General features: G+C 36.9%; 2 long non-coding RNA genes and 1 pseudogene across 2 annotated transcripts in view; all 3 read right to left on the bottom strand.

Moving 5' to 3' along the window:
• Positions 2,255-3,192, bottom strand: OR10AB1P (olfactory receptor family 10 subfamily AB member 1 pseudogene; annotated as a pseudogene).
• LOC124902626 (uncharacterized) lies at positions 4,755-9,631 on the bottom strand. Its single transcript, XR_007062580.1, has 4 exons — positions 9,387-9,631; positions 7,734-7,879; positions 6,969-7,050; positions 4,755-5,265 (listed from the first exon to the last, which is right to left on the bottom strand). It is a non-coding gene; the product is annotated as an uncharacterized LOC124902626 (long non-coding RNA).
• An 894-nt stretch (positions 9,632-10,525) lies between these two features.
• LOC105376533 (uncharacterized) overlaps positions 10,526-25,063 on the bottom strand; it is a 44,608-nt gene continuing 30,070 nt past the window's right edge. Inside the window, exons 9-11 of the long non-coding RNA XR_007062576.1 lie at positions 22,056-22,192; positions 14,405-14,444; positions 10,526-10,564 (exon numbers count right to left, since the gene is read on the bottom strand). This is a non-coding gene — a long non-coding RNA (uncharacterized LOC105376533). The remainder of the gene's footprint in view (positions 10,565-14,404; positions 14,445-22,055; positions 22,193-25,063) is intronic.

The following is a 25,063-nucleotide window of genomic DNA, read 5'->3' as shown; positions in this document are numbered from 1 at the left end:
AACCTAATGAGTGAAAAAGTCCTATGCTTATGAATTGGAAGTCTTAATATTATAAAGATGGAAATACTCCCCAAATTTATCTGTAGATTAGACAAAATCCCTATCAAAGTCCTAGATGGTTTCTTTATAGAAATTGACAAGATTATAAAATGTATATAGAAATGCAAGTGACCCCAAATATCCAAAACAATCTTGAAAAACAAGAACAAACTTGAAGAATTCACACTTCCCAATTTTAATACTTACTATAAAACAACACTAATCAAGGCCAGGCACAGTGGCTCATGCCTGTAATCCCAGCACTTTGTGAGGCCAAGGTGAGTGGATCACTTGAGGTCAGGAGTTCAAGACCAGCCTGGCCAACATGGTGAAACCCCATCTTGACTAAAAACACAAAAATTAGCCAGGCATGGTAGCAGGTGCCTGTAATCCCAGCTACTCAGGAGGCTGTGGCAGGCGAATTGTTTGAACCCGAGAGGCAGAGGTTGCAGTGACCCATTGTGCCACTGCACTCCAGCCTGGGCAATGGAGTGAGACCCTGTCTCAAAAACACACAACAGCGACAAGCAACACTAATCAAGACAGTGTGTACTGGCAAAAGGAAAGGCATATAGATCAGTGGAATACAATTGAGGTCAGAAATGAACCCATGTGTCTATGGTCAACAGGTTGTCTATAAGGGTGTCAAGAATATTCAGTGGGGTAATGAATAATCCTTTCAATAAATGGTGCTGGGTCATTTGAATATCCCCATGTAAAAGAATAAGGTTGGACCCTTATCTTAACCCACATACAAAAGTTAATTCAAGTGGATCAAAGACCTAAATGTAAGATTTAATACTACAAAACTCTTAGAAGAAAGCATAGGGGAAATTCTTCATGATCTTGGATTAAGCAATAGATTCTTAGTTATGACATCAAAAGCATGAGCAAAAAAAAAGAAAAAAGAAAGATAAATTCCACCATATTAGAGTTAAAAACTTTTTTGCTTCAAAGGAAACTATAAAGAAAGGGAAGAAACAACCTACAGAATGGAAGGAAATATTTGCACATAGTATATCTGATCAAGGATGTTATCCAGAATCATTTAAACAATCTAAATTCAATACAAATCCCCCAATTAAAAATGGGAAGAGAATTTGAATATGTATTTCTCTAAATTAGACATACAAATGATTAATAAATATATAAAAGATCCTTGATGTCATCTGTCATTAGAAAAATATAATTCAAACCCAGAATAATATATTGCTTCACACTCCCTATAACCATGTGAACAACGTAGCCTCAAAATTCCTTCACCAGCATACATCATCTAATCTTCCACAATTCACTTCAGAACTTCCCTACCAGGGCCATGATCTGTCAGCAGTAATAGCACTTTCCACCACTGTGAGGTTCATAAATTAGAAGCTGTTTATTTTTATGCTCTAAATCAATTTAAATAGCATTTGAATTATTTGTTCCTTGAGTATTTAAACAAATTAATTATTAAACTATCTGCTCTAATGCTTTGTGGGAGAGAACAGGAAAACATGTCTTTGACGGATTTCTCAAAAATTTCCATGGAAATTGGTATGTCAAAAAATGTCTGTTGCTTTTGGGGTCATTTTGTAAGCTTATTTTTTCCATAAATGCATTCATGTTTTTTTCTAATTTTCAAATTTGTTTGAATAAATTTGAACAAAGTATTCTCTTAAATTGCTTTTAATTTTCTCTATTTTAATCACATCCTCATTTTCATTTTCAACTTTTTGTGTTTGTACTTTCTCCCTCTTTTCGGATTAATTATACTAGTCAACTCGATTTTTTTCTTTTCCTTCTTCCCTTCCTCCCTTCCTCCTTTCCTCCCTCCCTCCCTTCCTACCTTCCTCCCTTCCTTCCTTCCTCCCTTCCTTACATTCTCTCTCTCTTCCTTGCTGTCTTTCTGTCTTTAGTATCATAATTTTCTTTCTTCCCAAAAAGCAACTGCTATCATTAAAATACAGTGTTCTAAAGCAATATGTACCCTGAATGGATATGTGTACATACACACATGCACACACACATAAACACACACACATAACATTTAAAAACATTTTAAAACTGCATCCTCTCTGTAGTAGGAAAATGGTGAGGCCAGGACATATCAGGAAATTAGACAATACTTTAACCACTTTGTGCACAAAGTGATATTAATTAGAAGTACTCCACTTTTCTCACCTTTATTTATCAATGCTGTGTAATTTTTTTAAATGTTCAGGCTCTTTTTTTGTCTTCTGAGGGAAAACCCCAAATACACTGCCTAGTGTTTTTCTTAGGGCTATCTGCATTTCTTTGTTTCTCAGACTGTACACGATGGGGTTAAGCAGAGGCATCAGTATTGTATATATCATGGCCGTCAGCATGTCTTCATCGAAGGAGTTGCTGTTCTTGGGCCTCAAATAGACAAAGCAAGCAAATCCATAGTGTATGGACACAACAGTGAGGTGGGAGGAGCAAGTTGAGAAGGCCTTAGACCTCCCCTTTGCAGAGGGCATCTTTATGACTATGAACACAATGAAGACATAGGAAATCATAATTAAAATACAGCTGCCCACCAACACAAAGGCAGAGAGCACAAAAATAGCCATTTCATGATAGAAAGTGTAATTACAAGCAAGGGAGACCACTGGTGAGATATCACAGAAATAGTGCTGGATAGTGTTCAAGTCGCAAAGAGACAAGTTGAATACAGTGACGATGATGCACAGAGAAAACAGGAACCCAACCATCCAAGAAGCCATCATCATCTGCAAGCAGATCTTTCTTGTCATAAGGGTGTGGTACTGCAGTGGGTTGTGGATGGCCGTGTAGCGGTCGTAGGACATAGCGGCCATGATGAAACAGTTGTTGGATGCAAAGCCCAGAAAGAAAAACATCTGTGTGGCACACTCAGGAAGAGAAATGGTCTTGCTCTCTGATAGAAAGTCCACCAACATGCGAGGGATTACTACCACAGTGGTACAAGTTTCTGAAAAGGACAGGCCACAGAGGAAAAAGTACATAGGAGTGTGAAGGTTGTGGCTGAGCTTGATGGCCCCCATTATGGACACGTTTGCAGCTAGGATGGTCACATGTAGAAGAGAATCACCACAAAAAGTAGACTCTGCAGGTCTGAAAAACTGGAAAATCCCCACAGAAGGAATAGGCTCACTGCAGTGTGATTGCCCATCCTCCTGGTGGGCACGGCCACTGTCTATCAATGGTGCAGAGGGGCTCTTGGTCACAAGTCTGAGATCACTGTATAAAGCTTCTTATGCACTGATTTACCTGTATTTTATTCAGGGGACCTGGGCAAGTGTCAGGCAACTCTTAGAGAACCTGAGGAAAGGGAGTTAAATGCACCTGGAAAGAGGTCAAGGTCAGGAGCCTGAGTGAAGAGAAGAATGATTCTAATATGATAATATGTATAGATGACATAGAGTGGGCCCAAATACCTATACCTGGATTTTACCCCAAAAGCACTGTTTATCTCTCTTTTCTCCATTCTGGATCTGCAAGGAAGACACAAAATATGAATGAAAGTTTTTTGATCTCACCTACTGGATTTTGAGATGCTATATTTATCAAATGCTTTTTGTGATTTAGCGGTACCCTAGCACTCATGGGCGCTTAAAATAAACTGTTGATTGAATGAATAAAATAATTCCATCATTTAAAATTAATAAAACACTTAGAAAATTCTGAGAGATCAGTAAATATTTCCAAAAGAACATTCGCGTTTCTTTCAATGCAATCCTATCTTCATCAGTGCTCCCCAAAGTGTAGTGGTTCTGAGGGTGACATTTATGTCAACAACTAGAGCAGACAAATCAATTTAACATGTTTTATCTTCTGGGTTTCTATATGTGGTAATAATTAAAGCTTGAGACATGCAATATCAATTTTTTTTATTACAATAGTTCTTAAGACATACCATTAATTTTTAAGTTCTTAACATCTCTTTGAAGTTCTTTGAACATTTTTTGAAGTGTCTAATATAATATAATGGACTAACTTAGATTTAATATAATTTTGAAGATACTGACTCATTCCAGAATGTCATATTCTGATCAATTTTTGTGTTTTTAGCAGAACCTCCAGAACATTTGCCAGCTAATGTACTTAGGTAGTTTGCTTTGCAACAAGCCTGAAAAGAACTAAATCAAGTTCCTCAGATAAATTTTGCCAGTAATATTTCTATTTTGATTGTTCAACATATAATCTGCTTAGGAGATGAGGGCAGAAAAGTGATATGAAGACTCTTCATAGAATTTTTATTTTAATTTCAGTCACGGTTAAAGGTGGAGGGAAAGAAATGAGGAAGCAGGTATGAGAATGAAGGGCTGGGAGAGAAAAAAGAAATACTGGCTGAAATTATTTTGAAAGATTCATCAAGACTAATGACAAAATAAGACAAAACAATTGTATTGTTAGTTGAGGAGTTGTCTTCTATGTGCATTGCATTTACAGGCAAAGAATACAAGAAGAGTCAGGGCAGGTAACCAGCACCTACTCAATGCCAATAATGTATTAGACAATATGCTAGGATTAGACAAAACTGTCTCATGTAATTCTTACAAGGCTATGTGAAGAATTTTTGTTTTCATTTTACAAAATGTGAAAGCAAGGTAGGGAGTGGTTACACGACTATCAAAGGCCATGAATTTATTCCATATATATTGACTAGATGCCAATAATGTGTCCAGCAGTTGTATGCATAGGAAGCACAACATGGAACCAGACATGTAGGATTTCTGTGATGTGAGAGTGCATAACTACTGTCGTTTGTGGAATTTGAAAGCCCTCTCTGAGGAGGTGAAACACTTAAATGGAGAATAGAGTGACAATATGTAAACAATATATGATGATCAGGGGGAGAATACTGCAGGTACAAAGCACAGATAACACAAAGACCCTTAGGTGGAAAACAAATATACCCAAGCATTCTTCAACCAAGACTCATATTGTTTATTTTTTAGTTTACTCCTCCACAGACTCTTTCCTCTGAAGGTTTCTCAGATGATTTACCTCTAAAGGAAAATCTTTCCCATTTTTATTGTTTCAGAACCACTTACTTTGTATGACTCTCCAATTTCAGCCTCTGTCAAAAAAGGATCTCCAATTTCAGCCTCTGTCAAAAAAGGATCTCCAATTTCTTCTGGGACATCTCCAATTCCAGAATGTCCTCCAAGTATTGAATACAGATGTTTAGAGCAAAATTGGCCATATTCCCTTACATATCGGGTTTTCCTCCTGTGTTTCCTATTTGAGTTATTTACAGACATTGGAGAGTTACCATTAGGTTGCATTTCTTATTCCTTCCACATCTTTTACCCCAATGAGTTACTTCCAAAATTCCAGATATCTGTTTTCCAACATCTTAACCTTCTTTTTAGCCCCTCTGCTGTTGCCCTGTATCTGTCCCATAGGGTGAGCATGGTATCTCCTTCTCCCAGTTCTATCCTTCACCTACTGCCAGCTTATTTATGTCACACCTGTGACCATGCTATGTCTCCTCATTATAGATGTCTTTTGGATCCCTTTTGCCTACAAGCTAGATGATACTAATAACCTATACTCTTTATTATATGTTTTGGTTACACAGTCTTGTATATACTCATAGCTACCCTAACATATAAGTACTATTACAATGACCTTATTTGCAATTAGGAAATTGTGGCTCAGAGAGGTACCTGATTTGCCAAAAGTGAGATAGGTGGTAATGTACGTGCGTGACATATTTACAGCAAGGCAGTGAGAGTCTAGAGGACTACATGTTTAGCTAGTTGATTCAAAGGGGAATTCCACCTAGCATGGCTTCACGATCTTACCTGTCTATCCTCATTTCCTACCGCCAACTTCTCCTACAAAAGAAACATCCCACTATTTCCCAAATACAGCATGTCCTTTTGGGGCTCATCTACTATATCCATGTTATTTTCTCTAAGTTGCAATGTCTTTCCTGCCCTTGTCTGCCTCCTAAAAACATAGCTTTCTCAAAATGAAAATTTATCACTTCTCAGAAGACTCTCTAAATTAGCCTAGCTATGTTATTCACCTTTTAGATTCAGATACCATTTTATTGTAATAAGACATTTTTTACAAGCTTGGCTTCTATACTAGACAGGACAAAGACCTGTGTAAAATTTTGTCTCCCCCAACTTTCAGCCTAAGCTGAGCGCAATGTTGGCTTTGACTAAGGTTAGTTCAATGGCTATAGGATAAAATAGGATCTCATATTCTTCAGAAAGCCTTCCATGATTATTCCATGATTATTACTTCAATTCATCTATTAATTCTTCCCCAATACATTGTTTGAGCTCTTTCGCATTTATTTTATTTAGACATGCACTAAAGATAGTTGGCTGCTTTCTAAGTGGATTTTAAGTATCTTGTCGCCTAGCAATGTGAATGCAATAGGTGCTTTCTAAATGCTTGCCTAATTGCACTAATGAACGTTGAATAACATCGAAAACAAACAAACAAGTTCTGAAAACTTCAGCAGTGGTTTCTTAGAGCCTAGGAGAAAGAAACTATCATTTTTACATTCTAGACACTCCCCTTATTTACTATAATATTAAATCATGCTTGACTTATAAATGGTCATATTAGAATCACTAGGAGAGCTTTATCAAAGAATATATTTCCACATACACACACACCCACAAGTTATTGGCAAGTATCTCCAAGGAGAAAATCTCCAGGTTATCAGGATATGTATAGTTTGCGCAATCTTTCTCAGTGATGTTGGTTGGGAGCATTTGACTTTTGTGATACTTTTCACATATGTTGATGGTAAAGTCTGCTTTCCTCGTTATTTAAGTATAGTAATGACAAAAGGTATGTCCATATGACATTACCTGCTTCCTTCCCAATGACCCTGGCAGCTTCTGGCGAACAAGATGCCCCTAACATTGTGTCAGCCTTTCTGTTTGGTTTGCCCAAGTCTTACCCTCTTTCTATACCTGGCTTTTGCCTTGAGTTTGCCATCCTGGTCTCTGTTTTTAGTTCTTCAAAGCCCTCCTCATGCAGTTTTCTGGGTTCTGTCTTTACCAACAATAAGAAACAGACAACATTCTTAATTTCCAGCTGTCTGTGCTCATAGTTTCTTCAATACTACTGAAGAATAGTAGAATATTCAAAATACTTCAATTTCTAACAGGCTATAAACACCCACAGATACTTGATTATTAGAACATATAGAATGAAATTATGTACATTGTAAAAAGTAAAACAAAAAAACCCCAAACTCTAAAATTCCTACCTTCTAAAGAAGGAGAATCACCTTCCAGTTTCTTAAAATCATGAAGTACTTAAGCTGTAGGAATAATGTACAGTCTCACAACTCAGGTGCGGCTTTCTGCAGTTCTTCCTGTCATTTCACTTATCATTCAAGGATAAGTGTTAAAGCAACTTTTCCCCTTGAATGCCTATGATCAGTCCCCTCTGAATTTAGAGTCACCTATACATAAAAGGTAGTGTTGTCTTCATTTCTTGGAGATGGAGCTCAGAACCATGAAGATTTTAATGAGAGTCCTGGGACCACTGAGACCACTATCTTGCAACTACTGATTTAGATACCACAAGTCTTGACCTCTATATCACTCTGTGATGCTCACAAATATGTTTTCTTAAATCCTCACACACCATAGGAGCTTTTCAATGATATTTGCTCCTGTTCTTCTGAATAACAGTAGAAATGATTGAAATTCAACTTGTTAAAAATATACCTTAGAAAGTAGAGGATGCCTTTGGGCGTATTTTACTTCCTGCACAATAGCATTTATTTTATGATTCTGAAAATTTGCGAGGTCTTTCAGGTCTTTTCAACCTTATTCACAGGGCAAGGGAATGGGTCATCATTAGACGCTATTGCCTGGGGAAACAAAAGAAGGAAGGCAAGAAGAAAACAAACACACAGTATGATCACTGTGATTTTTTTTTCTCATGGGACAACTTTGCTGTAGAAGACCTTGCTGAAAAGGAATATCCACTATTATCCAAACCTCCAGTTACTGCACTGCCATCTGTAATATTCACAGGTGGCTTCGAATTGCCCCTGTCATCAGATTGTCCCTCAGGGTCTTTGCCATCTGTAACAATCTTCTACCTAATGTATTATCAAGTCTTGTCTCCAATATCTGTTCTCATCCTCTCAATACTTCAGGCAAACCAATGCACTATATTCTAATCAAATTCTGCATTTTCCTCATTCTGTTTTCTGTTCCTTCTGTCTGAAAAATCTCTGTTCTTGATTTTACCCAACCGAAATCTTGCTCATTCTTCAAGGTTCAGAACAAATGCCACATCATCCAAGAAACCCCTAGCTTGCATAATGTATAAAAACTGAGACAGAAATTGTTGTCATTAAGAAGGAATTCTATAACGGGAGGCACTTACTTTGGGTAACTTGCATTGGGTACCAGAATATCAATACTAACAGAGTCAGTGTAACAGTGTAGGTAGCTGTACATAATAAATAAGACTTGTTGAAACTAAGCAGACATTTTACTGACTTTCCTGGATCTCCCTTACCAGAGCAGTAAATACATCCCCAAGCTTCTTCGAGAGCCAGCTTCTAACATATATAAACCTCTCTTTTGAGAATTGCTCTTAGCCAAAAGGAAGATAAGTGACTGGAAATAGATGGGAGTGCATGCCCTCACACCCAGGGTGGCCCATAGCCAAAAATGGAATGCTATGGTGATTTTAAAACAATGGCAGAAATGTCCTATTGTTGCAAGCTAGAACCACTCCAAAGTGCCAATCATGCTCCAGTACTTCCTGGGGAATCAGACTGAAGCTACTTTCAGCTGACTCCACACCTTTCTCTGGCATATTCCCATGCTTTGTCCTGCTTCTCTCTCACTCTTAGTTTTCTCCTGAGATCACTCTTTTACTAAATCACACGCATTTGAATTGGTAAGGTTCTGCTTTTGCAGAACTTACCATAAAACAGTCTTAATAAATACACAGGAATAAAGACTGCTTATACTTTTTAATACACACTCAAAATTTAAAAATAATAAAGTATATCTAGTGACTAAAGATAGTGAAAAACAAAACAACAACAAAAACAAAAACAAAATAATGAACTATCAACAGTACCTACCCTCTCCCATCTTGAACCACTGTCTGTTTTGTATTCTGCAATGTCACACTCCTGCTTTGGGCCCTTTTCTACCACTTTTGTCTTTTTCATGTTTGGTAGGGAGTGAAACTTCACCAACTTGAAGGAGCACCTCACAGTGACCATGGCCCTTCTTCAGCTCTCATCACCAAGGACCACATAGTTACCGAGGTTGCCAACCCCAGCTATATGAGTCAATCAGACACAATACACACTGAGACCCAAAGTCACCATATGCCCCTTCATTTGGTACCTCATTCATTCCAGTAGGTCTAGCCCCCTGCAGGTGAAGGTCTTTACTTTTAAAAGTCAGTTCATGAATTTTGGAGGGGATGACTGCTTCTTCAAATGCATAGACACCTACACAAAGTTACAAGAATCACAGAGAATCAGGAAAACATGACGCCACCAAAAGAACACAATAAACTTCCAGTAATTGTCCTCAAAAAAATGGAGATCCACAAGTTGACTGAAAAAGAATTTGAAATAATTGTTCTAATGAAATTCAGGGACTAGAAAAGAATACAGATAAACAATTTAACAAAATAAGGAAAAAAATAAAAAAATAAGAATTCAAGAGATAGGAAAACACTAAAAGAAACAAATTTTGAGCTAAAAATACAATAACTGAATTAAAAAATGCAATAGAGTTCTTCAACAGCGGACTCACTCAAGAGGAAGAAAAAATCAGGAAAATCAGACAGGTCATTTGAAATTATCAGAGGAGAAAAAAGGAAAAGAATAAAAAAATGAAGAAGTCTTTGGGCTATGTGGAACACTTCAAGAGAGCTAACTTTGTATTAGGGGAGTTCCAAAAGGAAAAGAGGGAGAGAATGGGGCAAAAAGTTTCCTGTAAGAAATTATGGCTGAAAACTTCCCAAATCTGGGGAGAGACCCTCATCCCACACTGTATATAAAAATTACCTCAAATGGATTAAAGACTTAAACATAAGACCTAAAACTCTAGAACTACTAGATTAAAACATAGGAGAAAATCTCCATGACATTGATCTGGTCAATGAGTTTTTGGATATGACCCCCAAAACACAAACAACAAAAGCAAAAATAGATAAATGGAATTACATAAAACTAAAAAGTTTCAGCATGGCAAAGGGAAAAATCAGCAGAAAAAGGAGACAACTAATGAAATGGGAGAAAAGGCTGGGCACAGTGGTTCATGCCTGTAGTCCCAGCACTTGGGAGGCTGAGGCGGGCAGATCACTTGAGGTCAGGAGTTTGAAACCAGAAACATGGTGAAACCCTGTCTCTACTAAAAATACAAAAATTAGTTGGGTGTGATGGTACATGCCTGTAATCCCAGCTACTTGGGAGGCTAAGGCAGGAGAATCGCTTGAACCTGGGAGGCAGAGGTTGCAGTGAGCTGAGATCACACCACTGCACTCCAGCCTGGGCAACACAGTGAGACTCCATCTAAAAAGAAAGAAAGAAAGAAAGAAAGAAATGAGATAAAATAAAACAGTCATGGTTTTAGGTCTAACGTTTAAGTCTTTAATCCATCTTGAATTGATTTTTGTATAAGGTGTAAGGAAGGGATCCAGTTTCAGCTTTCTACATATGGCTAGCCAGTTTTCCCAGCACCATTTATTAAATAGAGAATCCTTTCCCCATTGCTTGTTTTTCTCAGGTTTGTCAAAGATCAGATAGTTGTAGATATGTGGCGTTATTTCTGAGGGCTCTGTTCTGTTCCATTGATCTATATCTCTGTTTTGGTACCAGTACCATGCTGTTTTGGTTACTGTAGCCTTGTAGTATAGTTTGAAGTCAGGTAGTGTGATGCCTCCAGCTTTGTTCTTTTGGCTTAGGATTGACTTGGCGATGGGGGCTCTTTTTTGGTTCCATATGAACTTTAAAGTAGTTTTTTCCAATTCTGTGAAGAAAGTCGTTGGTAGCTTGATGGGGGATGGCACTGAATCTATAAATTACCTTGGGCAGTATGGCCATTTTCACGATATTGATTCTACCTACCCATGAGCATGGAATGTTCTTCCATTTGTTTGTATCCTCTTTTATTTCCTTGAGCAGTGGTTTGTAGTTCTCCTTGAAAAGGTCCTTCACATCCCTTGTAAGTTGGATTCCTAGGTATTTATTCTGTTTGAAGCAATTGTGAATGGGAGTTGACTCATGATTTGGCTCTCTGTTTTTCTGTTGTTGGTGTATAAGAATGCTTGTGATTTTTGTACATTGATTTTGTATCCTGAGACTTTTGGGCAAGGACTTCATGTCTAAAACACCAAAAGCAATGGCAACAAAAGACAAAATTGACAAATGGGATCTAATTAAACTAAAGAGCTTCTGCACAGCAAAAGAAACTACCATCAGAGTGAACAGGCAACCTACAAAATGGGAGAAAATTTTCGCAACCTACTCATCTGACAAAGGGCTAATATCCAGAATCTACAATGAACTCAAACAAATTTACAAGAAAAAAACAAACAACCCCATCAAAAAGTGGGCGAAGGACATGAACAGACACTTCTCAAAAGAAGACATTTATGCAGCCAAAAAACACATGAAAAAATGCTCACCATCACTGGCCATCAGAGAAATGCAAATCAAAACCACAATGAGATACCATCTCACACCAGTTAGAATGGCAATCATTAAAAAGTCAGGAAACAACAGGTGCTGGAGAGGATGTGGAGAAATAGGAACACTTTTACACTGTTGGTGGGACTGTAAACTAGTTCAACCATTGTGGAAGTCAGTGTGGCGATTCCTCAGGGATCTAGAACTAGAAATACCATTTGACCCAGCCATCCCATTACTGGGTATATACCCAAAGGACTATAAATCATGCTGCTATAAAGACACATGCACACGTATGTTTATTGCGGCATTATTCACAATAGCAAAGACTTGGAACCAACCCAAATGTCCAACAATGATAGACTAGATTAAGAAAACGTGGCACATATACACCATGGAATACTATGCAGCCATAAAAAATGATGAGTTCATGTCCTTTGTAGGGGCATGGATGAAATTGGAAATCATCATTCTCAGTAAACTATCGCAAGGACAAAAAACCAAACACCACATATTCTCACTCATAGGTGGGAATTGAACAATGAGAACACATTGACACAGGAAGGGGAACATCACACTTTGGGGACTGTTGTGGGGTGGGGGGAGGGGGGAGGGATAGCATTGGGAGATATACCTAATGCTAGATGACGAGTTAGTGGGTGCAGAGCACCAGCATGGCACAGGTACACATATGTAACTAACCTGCACATTGTGCACATGTACCCTAAAACTTAAGTATATTAATAATAAATAAATAAAGACAGAAAGAAAAGAAAACAGTGACTCAGTTTAGAATATGGTTAGCACTCACATTTGCATCATTTGATCAATTCAGGTTTTTGAATGAACACTTACAACAATGATGTTTTTGAGACTCTGATGAGAATCAGAATGGCCAAAGTGATTGACTTTATGTCACTGTTTAGCACTGTCCAATTTGCTTCTATTTCTCATCACTTTGCATAGTTTGCAAATATTTTCTCCCATTCTATAGGTTGTCTATATACTCTGTTAAGAGTTTCTTTTGCTGTGCAGAAGCTTTTTAGTTTAATTAGATCTCACTTGTTCATTTTTGTTTTTGTTACAATTGCTTTTGAGGACTAAGCCATGAATTCTTTGCCAAAGGCAATATTGAGAGGTTATTTCTTAGGTTTTCTTCTAGGATGTTTGTAGTTTGAGGTCTTACATTTAAGTCTTTAATCTGTCTTGAGTTAGTTCTTGTATATGGTAAAAGGAAAGGATCCAGGTTCATTCTCCTGCAGACAGCTAGCCAGTTATCCCAGCACCATTTATTGCATAGAAGTCCTTTTCCCATTGCTTGTTTTTGTTGGCTTTGTCAAAGGTCAGATGGTTTTAGGTTTATGACTTTATTTCTGGGTTATCTATGCTGTTCCATTGGTCTATATGTCTGTTTTTGTATCAGTACAACGCTGTTTTGGTTACTGTAGCCTTGTAGTATAGTTTGAAGTCAGGCAGTTTGATACCTCTGGGTTTTTATTTTATTTTATTCTTTTTTTTTTTTTTTTTTGCATAGTATTGCTCTTGCTATTTGGGCTCTTTTTTGGTTCCATATGAATTTTGCATATGGAACCAAATATACATTTTTGGCTGATTTTTTTTCTATTACTGACTCAATTTTGGAACTTGTTATTGATTGTTCAAGTTTTCACTTACTTACTGGCTCAATCTTGGGAGGTTATACATTTCTAGGAATTTATCCATTCCCTCTAGATTTTCTAGTTTGTATGCATAGAGTTGTTCATAATAGTCTCTGAGGATCTTTTGTATTTCTGTGGGATTTATTGTAACGTCATCTTTGTCTTTTCTGATTGTACTTATTTGGATCTTCTCTTTTTTCCTTGTTAATCTAACTTGTGGTCTATCAATCTTGTCTATTCTTTCAAAAATCATTTTTTTGTTTCATTGACCTTTTATATGGATTTTTCCATCTTAATCCTATTCAGTTCTTCTTTAATTTTAGTTATTTTGTTTCTTCTCTCTGCTTTGGGGCTGGCTTTTAAAAAAATTCTAGTTCCTCTAGGTGCAATGTTAGATTGTTAACTTGAGATCTTTCTAATTTCTTGATGAAGGAATTTAGCAAAAACAGCTAACCAAGGAGATGAAAGATATCTATAGGCAGAACTACAAAACACTGCTGAAAGAAATTAGAGACACAAAATGGAAAAAAAAAAATCCATGTTCTCGGATTGGAAGAATCAATATTATTAAAATTGACATTCTGCCCAACGCTATTTACACATAGCTATTCTTATCAAACTACCAAAGTCATTTTTTCACAGAATTAGAGAAAGCTATTTGCATCATACTTACCAATGGAGCAACCCTAATCTGAAAATCTAAAATCCAAAATGCTCCAGTGAGCATTTCTTCTGAGTATCATGTCAGCACTGAAAAAGTTTCAGATTTTGTAGTATTTTGGATTTTAGGTTTTTGGATTAGTGATACTCAACCTGTATAATACAGGATCTAACATTTATGTCATCAAAGCAACAGAAAAAGAGGAGAAAAATGATGAAAGCTGAAGGAATAATGACTTACAATTTTTCAAATTTAGCAAAGACCCATACATTTAATAAATTTTCAGCAAACACCAAACAGGATAATTCTAAGGAAATCCACGCTTAAATACATCATAATCAAAATTCTAAAAATTAGAAACAAAGAAAAACAATTGGAAGCAGTGAAAAAGAAATGGCACCTTACCTCCAGCAGAAAACCATTCAAGTGACAGCAGATTCCTCACCTGGAATCACAGAGGTCAAAAGAAAAGTTTTTTATTTGCAAAGGAAAGAAACGGTCAAGTGTGAATTCTCTATCTAGCTAGTATCTTTCAGGGATTAAGGGGAAATGAGACATTCTCAGATGAAGGAAAACTAACAGAATTTATCACCAGCTGACCTACCCTAAAAGAATAGCTAAAGAAAGTTCTCAAAACAGAAAATAACTAATCAAAGAAGGAATCTTGAAACAGCAGGAAGGAAGAAAATAAAACAGGAGATGTAAACATATAGATAAATACATTTCTCTACTCCTCTTAAGTTTTCTAAATTGTTTTTTATTGTCATAGCCAAAATTATAACACTGTCTGATGTGGTTCTCAATATAAGTAGAGATAACTTTTAAGACACAATTATATTATAAATGGGAAAGGGTAAAGAGACAAAGAAGTATAAAGAGGGAAAAGACTTCTACTCTTCACACACATTTATATGGTCATGGAACAGACTTTGTCATTGTCAGTAAGTTTACCAACTTCATCACATCAATTTCAAACACCCCACTCTGAGTATCACCTCCAGGTCCATTCAAAATGTATTTGGTCTCACTGGAAGCACCAATCATTGAAGTAACTACGTTTTCACAGTCCAGTGTCCACCCTCTATTGTGTCTCAATATCCTTTTGAACTTCTTAAAAGAGAGGGAGCTCATCTGCAACTACCTATAGTTTTGAGGTAATTTCAGCCTCAAGAGAATGAGCTCAGTTAATCTGCAACTACTTACAGTGTTTAATCTTAACATCCTGGCATCCAAGTGAGAAAGTCAGACCCACTGAAAAAGCAAGTGTCAAACAATAAAAGAACTAGCAAATACTACCAAATAAAAAATTCTATCATTTACCAAGTAATACTTGAGAAGTACTATCAAGTATCAGAAGGCTGCCATTGAGGGAGAAGGTATGTCATTACTTTCTATAGGAAAAGGATTGCTCATGTGTAAGTCCCCTGAATGGCCAAATGAAATATTTGCTACTTTTTGAAAGATCTTAACATTTAAAATATCTCTACAAATTATACTGGTGAATAACTATCAGTACTCTATTCTTTGTCAACCTGAATATGACAAACATACTCTATGAAGCAGTTCTTAAATCAATGTGATTTAATCAATTCTTCATATAAATTAACTTGATAAAATAATGAAAGAATGCTAAATCTCTGACTCCGTTAATTAGTCCCAGGATTCTATCAGAGGGTTAAGAAACATGAATCTGGAAAAAATCTTATATTTATGTAAAAAAATACATTAGAGACCCAAATGAATTCAAAACATGATATAAGTACCAACCAGTATGATATGTGAGGTATGACCAATGGAACAGTATAGAGAACCCAGACATAAGACCACATACGTACAACAATCTGATCTTTGGCAAACCTGACGAAAACAAGCAACGGGGAAACGATTTCCTATTCAATAAATGGTGCTGGAATAACTGGCTAGCCATGTGCAGAAGATTAAAACTGGACCCCTTCCTTATAACCATATACAAAAATTAGCTCAAGATGGATAAAAGACAAATGTAAAACCCAAAACTATAAAAACCCTGGAAGACAACCTAGGCAATACCATTCAGGACATAGGCACAGGCATAGATTTCATATTGAAGACATCAAAAGCAATCGCAACAAGAGCAAAAATTGACAAGTGTGATCTAATTAAATGAAAGAGCTTCTGCACAGCAAAGGAAACCAACAACAGAGTGAACAGGGAACCTACAGAAAGGAAGAAAATTTTTGCAAACTATGCATCTGACAAAGGTCTAATATCCAGCATCTATAAGGAACTGAAATTTACAAGGAAAAAACAAGCAACCCCATTAAAAGGTGGGCAAAGGATGTGAGCAGACACTTTTCAAAAGAAGACATACATACAGCCAACAATCATATGAGAAAAAGCTCAACATCACTGATCATTAGAGAAATGCAAATTGAAACCACAATGAGATACTGTATTAGTCCATTCTCAAGCTATTATAAAGAACTGCCCAAGACTGGGTGATTTACAAAGGAAAGAGGTTTAATTGACTCACATTTCCACAGGACTGAAGAGGCCTCAGGAAACTTACAATCGTGGTGGAAGGGGAAGCAAACACATCCTTCTTTACATGGTGGCAGGAAGGAGAAGTACTAAGCAAAGGGGGAAAGCCCCTTATAAAACCACCAGATCTTGTGAGAGTTCACTCACTATCATGAGAACATGGGAGAAACCACCCCCATGATTTAATTATTTCCACCTGGTTTCGCCCTTGACACGTGGAGATTATTACAATTCAAGGTTAGATTTGGGTGAGGGCACAGAAGCAAACTGTTATCAGATACCATCTCATACCAGTCAGAATGGCTATCATTAAAAAGAAATAATAACAGATGCCGGTGAGGTTGTGGAGAACAAGGAATGCTTATACACTGCTGGTAGTAATGTAAATTAGTTCAACCATTGTGGACGACAGTGTGGGGATTTCTCAAAGATCCTAAGGCAGAAATACATTCAACCCAGCAATCCCATTACGGAGTATATATCCAAAGGAATATAAATCATATATATAAATATAAATGATTTATGCAGACATGTGTCTTTATAATTTTATAATTCATATATCCATATGTTCATTGCAACGCTATTCACAACTGCAAAGACATGGAATCAATCTAAATGCCCATCAGTGATACACTGGATAAATAAAATGTGGTATATATACACCATGGAATACTATGCAGCCATAAAAAAAGAATGCAGTGTTGTTCTTTGCAGGGACATGGATGGAGCTGGAGGCCATTATTCTTAGCAAACTAACACAGGGACAGAAAACCAAATACTGCATGTTCTCATTTATAAGTGGGAGCTAAACGGTAAGAACACATGGACACGCAGAGGGGAACAACACACACTGGGGCCTATTGGAGGGTGGAGGGTGGATGGGGGAGGAGGGAGAGGATCAGGAAGAATAACTAATGGATACTAGGCTTAATACCTGGGTGATGAAATAATCTGTATAACAAACTCCCATAACACAAGTTTACCTATGTAACAAACCTGCACATACAGCCCTGAACTTAAAATAAAAGTTAAAAAAAAAACTTAAAAAAAAAGAAAATATTAAGAAAGAAAAGAAGATTTCAGCCAAAATTTATATGAATAAATTTCAGTTCTGCCACTTACTAAATGATCTTGGGAAAGTTACGTAACCCTCTGAGTCTCATTTTTCTTATTTTTAAAATTGAGATGCAGTAATAATAATGTTTATCTCACATGAACACTATTTTAAATAAAATGATTTATGTTAAAACACCTAGCAATGGATGGCAATGAATGAGTAATCCATAAATAAGAATCTACTTAAAATTGCAACTATTAGCTTCCACTAGCAATGCAAAGGGCATTTATATATCAATAATAAAGAACGAATGTTGCCTGCCAAAGATAATGACAAACTCCAGGAATCATCTCTGTGCAGCAGGGTTTATTTTTGCAGGATTTGGGACCATTTGGAATAAAAGACCAAAAGTACCTCAACACCAGACCTGCACAGGTTTGTCAACATCTTATTGAAAATCCAATGGAGAAAATCCAATAAGATTGAGACAATTAGGCGTGTTTATGTATTCATAGGAAATTATGCTGGCTGAGATAATTCATTAAGATCCAAGGGGTTTCATTAATTCTCTTCATTATTTGTATACAGTTATTATAACTGCATAGATCTAATTAGTTTTGAAACTTGATTTGGGTCAACATAATTATTGTGGGCTATGCTGTACTCATCTGTACCATCTCTGAGAAGCAGCTATGACTAGGTACCAGGAACTTTTTTTAGCATTTTCTTGTTTTTTTTTACATAATTAGTTGCATCTTAGTTGCATGAAGAGCCATAATGCTTTCCCCACATGAAGGTGACCTATGTTTCAATTCAACTCCACTTATGTAGACTTTTTTTCCCAAAATCTTGGACTCTTCAGATAGAGATCCAGTTATTGAAGATACTTCATCCTTTTTCCACTCTATATTTATCTGTAATCCAGTGCTGTCTTTCCAGATAACCCAAGACTCTCTTCCTTGTTCCTAATTTCCATGTGTTTTTAATAAGCGATTTTTACCATTTATATTGTTCTAAAATTGCTTTTATAATTCAAAAATATTTTTTAGATAATTCCATGTATGCATTAATATCCTTCACAATTTTAATGAAAGCATTTTGAAAGCATTGCATTAGTATTTACTTAACTATACTCCAACCAATGCTTCACTGTACCAGCATTTCTCTCAGAAGTATTCCTGGGTCAAAAGGTTTGCACAATTTAAATTATAACAGATTCTGCCAAATTGCCCTCAAAGAAAATTAGCACCATTTAACTCATAGTGCTTTATGTTAACAATCTATTAGATCAGGCTTTTTTTGTTACTTATTTGACCTATCAATTTCTGAAACTCTTGCATGATGATTGTACATTTTTCAGTTTCACATACTCCTATCAGATTTTTCTTTAAATATTTCAACATTGTGTTATTAGGTATTTAAATGTTTAAGACTGCTATGACTTCTTTGTGAATGCCACTTTTCATTTTAATAAAACCTTTAAAAGCAACATTGCCAATTTACTTCCCACCAGGAATCATCTGAAAGCAATTTATTCACTGCTTAAACTGTTAATAGTATTGAACTTACTCATTTTTACAATGAATAACATGATCTATTATAATGTAACTAATTTTGTTTTTTTAAAAAAGCTTAATGGTTGTCATTGTGCATAATTTTGTTTTCTATTTACCATGCTTTCTTTGTCACTGTTGTTTTTGTTGTTTGTTTTCCTATCATTATTTCCTTTAAATTGAATCAACCTTCTTTCCTTCTTTTCACTACTTATAATCTAATCTTATGGAATTTATGCATCATATTTCTATTCTTCCAGTAGTCATAACTCTTAAGGTTCTAACACTTTTTTTTACATTTTCTACTAATGTCTATAATTAATTTGTTTATAAATCCTGACTTTAAATTAGATAAGAATCTTAGCATATCTTTAGCTACCTCTCATCCTGCTCTTACCACTGCCCACCTTGCTAGTTAAATCATCAGGAAATTACCGGCCGGGTGCGGTGGTTCACGCCTGTAATCCCAGCACTTCGGTAGGCCGAGGCAGGTGGATCACCTGAGGTCAGGAGCTCGAGACCAGCCTGGCCAACATGGCAAAACCCCATCTCTAGTAAAAATACAAAAATTAGCCGGGTGTGGTGGTGCATGCCTGTAATCCCAGCTACCTGGGAGGCTGAGGCAGGAGAATCACTTGAACCTGGGAGGCGGAGGTTTCAGTGAGCCGAGATCACATCATTAAACTAGCCTGGACAACAAGAGCGAAATGCCGTCAAACAAAGAAGAAAAGAAAAGAAAGGAAAGGAAGGGAAGGGAAGGGAAGGAAAGGGAAAGGGAAAGGGAAAGGGAAAAGGAAAGGGAAAGGGAAAGGAAAGGAAGGTTACTATAAATGCTGGCTCCATTTTCTTTTTTCTTTCATTTATTTATTTATTTATTTATTTATTTATTTATTTATTTATTTATTTATTTACTTTGAGACAGTATCTCTGTCACCCAGGCTGGAGTGCAGTGGTTGCAGTCTTGAACTCTTGGGCTCAAGTGAGCCTCCTGCCTCAGACTCCTAAAGTGCTGGGATTATAGGCATGAGCCACCATACCCAGTGATTATTTTTCTTTATCAATCCTTCCAAAGACTACTGAATAGTCATTAGTTTTGGTCCCATGCGTCTTCCGAAGATGATTAATTTTTCTAGTGTTATTATGAAGTCATGTAACACATCACAGTCTAAACAGTCCCCATGGGTATCATTCCACTAACTACCAAAGAATTACCCAATATGCTGTTATCTATATTTTACGTATGAGGAATACAAGGATCTAATGGCTTGATGGACTTGCCCAAGGCTACACTATTAGTATGTGTTGGAGTCTTGATTTCAGTTTATGTTTTTTTAAAAATTATTGATCCCCTACCCTTTCTATCATGCTATCACATCATCTAAGCCCTTGTCACTTTTTCTGCGTGCTTTTTGTTTTTCTCTGGCAGACCACAGGATTTGGTCCAATTTTGTCTTTCTTTTTCTTTTTCTTTTTTTTTTATTATTATTATACTTTAAGTTTTAGGGTACATGTGCACAATGTGCAGGTTAGTTACATATGTATACATGTGCCATGCTGGTGTGCTGCACCCACTAACTCGTCATCTAGCATTAGGTATATCTCCCAATGCTATCCCTCCCCCCTCCCCCCACCCCACAACATTCACAGAGTGTGATGTTCCCCTTCCTGTGTCCAGGTGTTCTCATTGTTCAATTCCCACCTATGAGTGAGAATATGCGGGGTTTGGTTTTTTTGTTCTTGCGATAGTTTACTGAGAATGATGATTTCCAATTTCATCCATGTCCCTACAAAGGACATGAACTCATCATTTTTTATGGCTGCACAGTATTCCATGGTGTATATGTGCCACATTTTCTTAATCCAGTCTATCATTGTTGGACATTTGGGTTGGTTCCAAGTCTTTGCTATTGTGAATAGTGCCGCAATAAACATACGTGTGCATGTGTCTTTATAGCAGCATGATTTATAGTCCTTTGGGTATATACCCAGTAATGGGATGGCTGGGTCAAATAACACCATATATCTACATCTATCTGATCTTTGACAAACCTGAGAAAAACAAGCAATGGGGAAAGGATTCTGTATTTAATAAATGGTGCTGGGAAAACTGGCTAGCCATATGTGGAAAGCTGAAACTTGATCCCTTTTTTTCTTTTTCTTTTTGGCTCCTACCAATCACTAGCTTCAAAACTGACACAAAAGAAAGAAAGATGCACTTGCTCGATTTATCTTCTCAACTGGCCTCCTTCACCACTTCATAATTGTTGGAGATAACTTTTTTATTGTCCTAAACTACTTCTTTTTTTCTGGCTTTCTCACTCATCTACATCTCCTGCTAACTTCCTTTCTCCGTCATACCATGAAAATTTTGTCTTCATAAAAGCTAGTATCTTGGAGACAAACTACAGAGACTGAAGCATAACACATCAAGTTTTCAACAAGAATACGGGGGCTAATTGTATCTTTTCCAAACAGACTCCTGTTTCCTTTCCCCTATTTTCCTGTTTTCTTCATACCTGTGTGTGAATTTTTTTGCTTTTGCCAACACTGACTCAGGCAAATCCCTACACGATTTCCCTTCTGTTCCCTCTCATTTCTGGCCAGCTCACTTTTGCCTAAGTTTGTTTCTTTGCTATCTATCTCCTGTGCTTAGTATGTATAGGAACTTTCCCCACTCTTCCTTTCTCCAGTATCGCTGAAATTCCTGGGTATAACTAAACCACTTTCTGGAGTACTCCCATTTCTATTCTAAGACTCAAACAGTGAGAAGGGGCAAAGTGATCCTTCCTTTGCATGATTCATATCATCCCTCAGTTCCAAATCATCTCTTCCCTTTTAAAATTTATTTTTAAAAATACCCTTATTGTTTTTGATTATCCTTGAGGCATTCTCAGATTGTTCTTAATTATTTTACACTTCAACTTACCTTGCATGTACCTTTAGTGTCATCTCTTAGTTGCAACAGGGAATATGCAAGGTGTTTATAAAGGAGGATTCAGTGGTTCCCACTTAGCGATTGGATTAAGTTGGCAGCCTGAGACCATACGGTGTGTCCTCCTGCTCCTGCTCCAAATTTATGATAAGAAGGATGTATTAAACAAATGAACTCATAGCAGTGCTGGAAAACCTGAACAAGGAAAGCTACTTTTAGTGGCCCCAAATTATGAATATTTCTAGAACGATAAAAAGTAGATGGAATTCAATTAAGGAAAGAACCACAACCTAACATGCCTGTTAGGAGAAAACTGCTGAAAAAGTTCTGGAGTAGACCCACTCCAATTTATTCCAAGTAAGAACCAGTTGGTGTTTTCCCCTGGGAGGGAGATGTGAGGGGGTATTTGGGCCCATGGGGCAGGGCAATTCCAGGTGGCTGGAAACTTCAGGGAGAATGAGAAGCAGACAGGTCCAGAAACCCAACTCCTGGGACTCTCTACCAGACAGTACATTCTGTTACTTTCTCTGGGCCACTGGAGGTGGCTGAGAACATTCCTGGTGATGAGTGTTTATGGCACTGTTGACCAAAATTGAGGCTGTCAAGACAGAAAAAAATCTATAAAGGTTTATTGAACCTCAAATGTGTGGATTGACCCAGGAAGACACAGCAACAAAGTTGGAGTGTTCTGAGGTCTGTCAGAAGGTGAAAGGTTTTGACAGAAAAATCTGAAAAGACAGAGAGAGATTGCTCATACTGGAGTTGTTCTCTTTTCATTGGAGGGTACAATACAGAAGTTATAATCATTAGCTATGGATTATATCACAGGGTTATAGGAACACATTAAAGTCACAGCTCTGCAATCAGCAAAATACAGAATGTAGAAAATGCTAAAGGTCTAAATAACCAATTCTTTCAACAAAAATAATTGCTGCAAAAAAGAGAGAAGAAGGTTATAACAGGTAGACCTGAGATTTTCTAGGTATAGAATCATATCATCTGTGAAGAGAGACAGTTTTGCTTTCAGGAGAAATTTTGATACTAATTTCTCAACTTGGGGATTTACAGACAGGGAAAACAATGTATTTGAATTCCAAATCCATGTTTGGTGCAGACTTTGGTCCAAGATTCTCAAGAGAGATTTTTTCCCCTTTAAAAGGTTTAATAGTTTCATGAATGAAAAATTGATTTTATACTACCATGCCAAGCAACACTTTAATATATTCCTGTCTGCAAGTAACTACAATGTACAGTTATTATAATTCCTATCCAGACCCTGGGAGGGTTGAATAGCTGGACTTACAAAAATATAGTGTCTTAGAACCTGCTACATCCCCCATGAAGAGCAAATATTTTAACAGCAAGGGGGCCACATTTTAGCCCCTTAAGAGATGAAAGTAACAAACTCTTAATGACCAGCTTCATGTGGTGAAGAGTGTGTTGATGTGTACTGATAGTTGTGCTGATGCAAGAGCTTGAAGCAAATACCCTCTCCTGAAATTAAGCACTAAGCAAGAGCTCATCATATTTCTGTGTGACAATCAATAAAAACGCTCCACTCCCACATTTTACAAAGGAAAACTCATCATTCTTTCAGTATAGAGTCAAATTTTATTGTCCTATGCTATGTGCCTACTTTAGGCTTGTCAAGTTTAGTGCATCCTAGGCCCACACTAGGTCTTTCTGCACTTTTGACATTAACAGTATACACATTTTAGACAGAATGTAGTGAATTTGGGGTCAGAAAGGCCATATTCCTAGTCAAGTTGCTCTCAAAAGTGATTGATAAAACACAATAGCAATTTAAAGGGAGCTTGCTGTCAAAGAAAGATTGAGACTTTGATTAGGGCTTAGACATTGATTGATTACCTCTTGGGGCTATCACTCCATACCAATAGCCAAAAATGTTTGGCATCAGGATTACAGTAGTTATAGATAAAGCCTCAATAGAGGTTTGAGTTTCCTTCTTTCCATAAGGCTACATTCTTGATTAGTGTACCTAAATATGTAGTGCTTACAAATGTTAAGTTTTTACACCTTCTCTGTTTTGCATTTATATTATTTGTATGTGTTGTATTTTCATACTTTTTTGTACAAAGACAAAAGTTGCCAAAAGGAAATTAAGAGCTTTTGGGCTGACATTTGTTATTTTTAGTGGGTAACTTATAAAAGTTGACAGAAAAATGTTATATTTCTATCTGGTCATAGATGGCATTGACCATCCTATAAATATTTCTCACACACTGACCATGTGCCCAAAACTCGTTGAGGAAAGAGGAAAATGTACAGGTAATCATAGCCACTTTACTCTCCCAAGCATCTACCAGGCATAGAAGTAAAGGAGATTTAGTGTTTCCCTTCTATAAATACAAAAATGATAGGAGAATGCAGAGTCACAAATGCCCCAATGTACAGTATCCTAGATGACTTTCTAACAGCAGGGCTTCCTGAGTGTGACACCCAAATATCTTTCCACTTCTCTCATTCACCAACATATGTTTATAATAACCATGTAGTTACATTTGCAAAATAAGATAAATAAAAATATTTTAGAATATTGGCTGGGCGTGGTGGCTCACACTTGTAATCCCAGACCTTTGGGAGGGCAAGGCAGGCAGATCCCTTGAGCCCAGGAGTTTGAGATCAGCCTGGGCAACATGATGAAACTCCATCTCTGCCCAAAAAAATTATATACATTTGGATGGGTCGTTTGCAAAAAAGTAGGGAAGTGTACCCTTGCAAACAAGGACAACATTGATAGTCAATCTTCTTATAGAAAGTGGTAAAAGTGGTAAGCTCTACAAAGGAGCAAGTAATGTTTGCAGATGCAAATCTTACATGCTAACCACTTTGCTAGCCAGATACACTCTGGAGGAATCAACTAATTGGTGTAGGTGTAATAGGATATGTAATATTGCTTGATCAAGACTCTGCTTCTGTGGTTGTTTCTCCACATCTTCCAAAAGATCTTTGCGAAACACTACATTCAGAAACATCAGATG

Source organism: Homo sapiens, chromosome 11 (genome assembly GCF_000001405.40).
Source record: "Homo sapiens chromosome 11, GRCh38.p14 Primary Assembly".
Lineage (NCBI taxonomy): Eukaryota > Metazoa > Chordata > Mammalia > Primates > Hominidae > Homo > Homo sapiens.
This window is presented reverse-complemented; position numbering and strand designations above follow the sequence as displayed.